We start from the raw sequence: 6,213 nt of genomic DNA, 5'->3' as shown, positions 1-6,213 counted from the left end.
TTAGTTTGGCCCACACTCAGCAAAGAGCAAGGATAGCTTGAAGGTTAGAAGCAAGATGGAGTCAATTATGTTAGATTTCTCTCACTGTCATAATTTTGCAAGGGCAGTTTCAGTCCTCACCAGCATTTGGTATTGTCAGCGTTTTGGACTGGGCACCAATTCAAAACATGTAACTGCTTTTAGAAAGTCTTCCCATTTCTTGAACTCTTACAGAAGAAACGCATACAGACATGTCAAAAATTGTCTTGTGTATTCGATGTGGAGGTGTCACAGGGCAAACCCCAAAATTGGGGTTCAGCCTGAGAGGCTATCTTGGTTCTTGGCTTCACACAGGAATTCAAGAGTGAGCCAACAGAGTAAAGTAAAAAAAAGTTGATTAAGAAGGTAAAGGAATACAAGTGTGGTCACCCCATAGGCAGAGCAGCCTCGCAGGCCACTGGTTGGCTATTTTTATGGTTATTTCTTGATCATATGCTAAACAAGAGGTACATTATTCATGAGTTTTCCAGGACAAGGGTGGGAAATTCCTCAGAACTGAGGGGTCCTCCCATTTTCAGACCATATAGGGTAACTTCCTATGTTGCCATGCCATTTGTTAACTGTCATGAGCTGAGCAGGTGGAACTTTTACTATGCTAATGTATTATAATTAGCATGTAATGAGCAGTGAGGATGACCAGAGGTTGCTTTCATTGCCATCTTGGATTCGGCAGTTTTGGCAGCTTTTTTTTTTTTTTTTTTTGAGATGGAGTCTCACTCTCTTGCCAGGCTGGAGTGCAGTGGCGCAATCTCAGCTCACTGCAACCTCCGCCTCCCGGGTTCAAGTGATTCTCCTCCCTCAGCCTCCCCAGTAGCTGCGACTACGGGCACCCGCCACCGTGCCCGGCTAATTTTTGTATTTTTAGTAGAGACAGGGTTTCACCATTTTGGCCAGGATGGTCTCAATCTCTTGACCTCATGATCTGCCCGCCTCGGTCTCCCAAAGTGCTGGGATTACAGGCGTGAGCCACCGTACCCGGCCTTGGCAGCTTCTTTACAGCATCATGTTTTATCCACGGGGTCTTTGTGACCTATATCTTGTGAAACCAGACGCTGAACTCCTATCTCAGAGGTATAGGTTATCCTGAGGTTGTAGGAGTACAGAGGAGAGTAACACACTTTGTAAGGATTAACTTGGATGTAGAAATTCCTAACTTCACAGGAATTTTGACCTAACCTAAAGCCAGCTCTCTTGTAGAAAACAAAGGCAGTGATTACGCATTCTTAAAACTCAAGTGGCTGAGCCCGGGGTGGGGCTTTTCTTCATACAGAAGCCACTGCTACTTATTAACACAACGTGCTGATAGAGGGACCTCGGGGGCACCTGTCAGCTGAGGGCCTGAACTCTTACACAAAACCTCCCACAGAGCCACAAATTCACTCAAACACCTGAGGTTGTTTGTCACAATACATATTAGAACTAAACCATCAAAAGGAGGAAGGATACGCCTTTCCCCTTGCTTCTGGCTACTCTTTCCTTACTGATCCAAGATGTCAACCACATCTAGTGTGAGTCTCCTGCTTACCCTTTTCACTGGCTGTTCTTAAAGGGACCTGAAATTAGGATAAAGATTCTATTAGTTGAAGCCAGGTGCAGTGGCTTGTACCTACAGCCCCAGCTCCATGGGAGGCTTCAGTAGGAGGATCTCTTGAGCCCAAATGTTTGAGGCCAGCATGGGCGAAAAAAGAAAAGAGAAAAGATTCTATTCATTGATTCAATTTGTCAAAAGAGTTTTGATGGTGAGGAAGATGAATCTGTTTTGTTTCCGTTTTTTGAATTGAGTCGTATTGCATGAAGCATCTTTTGTTTCTCTCAAGCCTGTTTGGCAATTGCCCCACCCCCATCTGCTCTGCGCTGCCAGGGAGAAGTGTTTTTCCTGCCATTTCAGGATGGTTCTCTTTCCCCTCCAGATGCCCCCAGGGAGCCTGCCAGGCCTGCATCTGTTCAGAGCTGCCACTCAATTTGGCACAGCTCAGCCAGCTTAGTCCAGGCAGCTGGCAGTCAGCTGAGAGAGGAGGGGGTGAGGTGCAGGTTGGAGGAGGCCTCCAAACCAAGGTGGGAGAGGAGGGCCTGGGAATGTCAGTTGTGAGCACCTGTTCCTGCCTGAGTCACCAATTACACACAGCACTTACATTCCGCAGGTGTGCCAAGCTCCTGCTCCCTGCAAAGCACATTTTAGGTCTGGTAAGAAAAGATGAAACACATGCATGCACACACACTGTATCAATGTGCCAAGGCGACCATCACAAAGTCCGGCCCGCTGGGTGGCTTAAATCACAAGAATTGACTCTCACGTTCTGGAGGCTGGAAGTCTGAGGTCCGGGTGTCGGCAGGATCGGCTTCCTCTGAGTCCTCTGTGCTTGTCTGGTAGATGGTCAGCTTCTCCCTGCATCCTCACACTGTCTTCCCTCTGTGTGTGTCTGTGTCCACAGTTCATCTTATAAGAATACCAGTCATGTTGGATGAGGGCCTATCCTAATGACCTCATTTTAATTTAATTACCACTTGAAGGACCTTATCTGTGAATACAGTCACATTCTCCGGTACTAGGAGTTAGGACTTCAACATATTAATTTTGTTCAGCCCATCACACACACACACATGCTCACACACATACACATTCACTTACACACACACACACACACAACACACACACACCTTCTTTCCTCCGGGATTTTGATATTGCTGACCCCATGGGGAAAAAAGCAATTTCCAACCTCTAGCTTCTCCACAGCATTACTTTAGATTATAGCCAGGGGGTTGCAAAATTGCTCCTGACCTCAGTTAAACTCAGGACCTGGCTCTGGTTCTTGAGGGGCTATTTTTATGTTTTCTGCCGTTGTGATTCTAAGGTCCCGAAGAACAGGGCTGTGAGCTGTGCCGCCTGGGTCTGGTGCAGTATCTCTCACAGAGAGGCCCGGGCTGCCTGCCTCAGGATTGCAATGGATGCGTGTCAAAAATGTATTCTTGTGAATGTTCCCAATATAAAGAGAAGTGTTTGCGGTAATGAATATCCCAATTGCCCTGATTTGATCATTACACATTGTATGCAGGTATCCAAAAAGTCACATGTACCCCCAAAATATGTACAACTATTATGTATTGATAAAAGAAACTTCCATCACCTAGAGATAACCAGTATTAACACTTTGAAAGAAAAAAAATGCATTCTTTTGACAGCATTAAAAGTGAGTGAAATGCTACCATACTTAACAATGTGGTGAATCCACCAGCATAACATTGAGCAAAAGAAGCCATCACAAATTATACGTTTGGTGCGATCCCACTTTTAGTTGATATTTCAAAACAAGGCACAATTAATCTGTAATGCTGGAAGGGTATGGACATGACTGGGAGGAGGGTAATTGTCTATTTGGATGGTGGTTACATGAATATTTCTCAAACCATATACTTTGACTTCTGCAATTTTCTGTGAGCATGTTATTCTGAACTTTAAAAGTGTATATAGGAAAATGTCCCCAGCATTTTCCCTTAGGTTTTCCAAGCCACCATTTCTCTGACTTTGAATTCTACTATTATGAAGCCATGGGGCAATTCTCTTTCCCTTTAGTAAATTGAGATCTCCTGAAATTTTCTGAAAGAATTTTACCAAGGACTACGGCATGCCAAACAAATACCAAAAAAGAACATTTTAAAAGGAAAAAAAAAATGGCTTATTTAGAACACTGGCTTTTAACACACTTTGAAAGTCTTCTGCCCCTTTCATTTAACCAGCTATGAGAGGGAAGGAAGGGGGAAGGCAGAAGGGAATTGTTCTGTAAACGGGAAGATTCCTCTGTCCTCATACACATTTCCCATCTTAAAGTAGGGCTCTTCAAACAAAGCACACTTGCATGCATACCTCGTCGAATATGTGCTGGATTGCAGGGACTGATTCACTTCAGAGGAGCACTCCTCTTTCTTGTTCGTCTCTGAAATTCCTGGTTTTCTTTAAGCTTAGTGAGATCCTGCATTTTGCAGGCCCCTTGTGGAGCACAGGGCTAAGGGTGCATTCAGTGGGAACAGCTCAGCCTGGTCTGCTGAAGGCAGCAGGTGCTGCGGCAGGACAGAGTCCAGGGAGGAGGTGTCACCTGAGCACACAGCTCCTTCCTTTCTGAGTTCTTCCCCCAGGGAGTGCAGCCCAGACCAAGCTGGGATTCCGGATTATTTTGGCCACAGGGGTGAGATGGTCAAATGTGACAGATTTCTGCGTCCCCCAAATAACCTGTGCGCATCACCCAAAGCAGCTAGTCATCTTGAGAAAATGTCATGAGTTCTGTGTAACTGAGCTGAATGAATTTGCAAAGAGGATGCATCCGCACATACAAACCTGCTGTCCTCCCCTGAGCAGAGTGATACTGAGAGGGATACTAAAAATAGCTAAAGAATTGTTTTGTTTTAGAAATAGGGTCTCGCTGTGTTTCTCAGTCTGGAGTGATCATAGCACACTACAGCTTCAAACTCCAGGGCTCAAGCCATCCTCCTGCCTTAGCCTCCCAACTAGCTGGGACTACAGGTGCACCATCACACCCCACTATTTTTTGTAAACTTTCATCCAACTAAAACACAAAAGTTCACTCTTTGCTTATTAAACTGCATCAGAATCTCCTTATGCCTCAGCAGCAGCATCAGAACATCCTATATCCAGTTTTTTAAACTATGTCTTCTTTTTAAAAACATTTATTGAATTTTAATACACATATAGAAATTTGCATAGAGCATAATAAGTATACAGCCTGATACATTTTATCAACAGAGTTGCCTGTGTAACTAGCACCTACATCAAGAAGCAGAAGTTCACATGGGTGCCCCCCAGCCCACAGTCCCCGGCACCTTTCCCAGCAAGGGTGGCCTCTCTTGATCCTGCCTTCTAACCTCCTGGGTTAGTCTCACCCACTTTTGTTCTTTATATGCCTCTTGTGTGTGGCTTCTTGGCTCAAAAATATGTTTGTGAGGGTCAACCCTGTTGTCTGTGGATGCAGTTTGTTGTCCTTGATGCTGGGTAGTGCATTGTGGGACTGCACCACAGATGGCTTATCTATTCTATTGTTGATGCCCATTTAAGAGGTTTTCACGTCTGCCCCATATGAACAATGTTGCTTTGAACATTCTTTTACATGCATTTTGGTGCATATTTATATGCATTTCTGTTGGGTCTGTACTTATTAATGGAACTTCTGGGTCAGAGGGATGCATAAATTCAGCTTTAGTAACCTGTTGTATTAGTCTATATTCTGTTGCTTATGTAAGAATACATGAAACTGGATAATGTATAAAAAAAAGGAATTTATTTCTGGCAGTTGTGGAGGCTAAGAACTTCAAGTCAAGGGGCTGTAATTGGTGAGGGCTTTCTTGTTGATGGAGACTGTGCAGAGTCCTGAGGTAGCAGAGGGCATCACATGGCAAGGGGACTCAGCATACTAACTCAGGTTTCTTTTCCTCTTCTTATAAAGCCACCAGTCCCACTCCCATGATAACCCATTAATCCACTAACCCATTAACTCATGAAAGCCCTCATGATCCTATCATCTCTTAAAGACCCCACCTCCCAACATTGCCACATTGGGGATCAAGTTTCAACCTAAGTTTTGGAGGGGACATTCAAACCATAGCACCAGTGTTCCAAAGTGGTGGTACCAAGGGACACCCCACCCAGCAGTGTATGAGCATCTGGTGTTCCACACCCTTGCCAATGCTTCCTGTTTTCTGTCTCTCTCAATTCAGCCAGAGACAGCTCATTTTTAATGATCACTTACTGCATGTTAGGAACTAAGCATTCACATACATTGTCTCATTTAATTTTGCAGCAATCCTATGAAGTCATACTAATTTTCACAGAGGTAGAAGGTTCCTCAAATCACTAAACTGCGTGGCCTACATTGGAACCCACACTGGCCGGTCTCCAAGCCGTTGCTGTCTTCTACTACACTGGTTTTGTCTTGGGTGCATGATATGGTTTGGCTCTGTGTCCCCACCCAAATCTCATATTGAATTGTAATCCCCATATGTCAGAGGAAGAACCTGGTGGGAGGTGATTAGATCATGGGGGCGGATTTCCCCCATGCTGTTCTTGTGATAGTGAGTTCTCACGTGATCTAGTTGTTTAAAAATGTGTGGTACCTCCCCCTTCACTTGCTCTCTCTCCCTCTCTCCTGCCACCATGTAAGACATGCC

General features: G+C 44.7%; 2 annotated features.

Annotated features, from left to right (window-relative positions):
* Positions 917-1,452: an enhancer, noted in NCBI's record as "OCT4-NANOG-H3K27ac-H3K4me1 hESC enhancer chr1:230654311-230654846 (GRCh37/hg19 assembly coordinates)". NCBI's record gives its function as "activates a minimal SCP1, AML or CMV promoter by ChIP-STARR-seq in primed H9 embryonic stem cells {active_cell/tissue: H9 hESC(primed)}" and the evidence as "EXISTENCE:reporter gene assay evidence [ECO:0000049][PMID:30033119]".
* Positions 1,987-2,522: an enhancer, noted in NCBI's record as "H3K4me1 hESC enhancer chr1:230653241-230653776 (GRCh37/hg19 assembly coordinates)". NCBI's record gives its function as "activates a minimal SCP1, AML or CMV promoter by ChIP-STARR-seq in primed H9 embryonic stem cells {active_cell/tissue: H9 hESC(primed)}" and the evidence as "EXISTENCE:reporter gene assay evidence [ECO:0000049][PMID:30033119]".

This window comes from Homo sapiens, chromosome 1, assembly GCF_000001405.40.
Source record: "Homo sapiens chromosome 1, GRCh38.p14 Primary Assembly".
In the NCBI taxonomy this organism is placed as follows: domain Eukaryota; kingdom Metazoa; phylum Chordata; class Mammalia; order Primates; family Hominidae; genus Homo; species Homo sapiens.
This window is presented reverse-complemented; position numbering and strand designations above follow the sequence as displayed.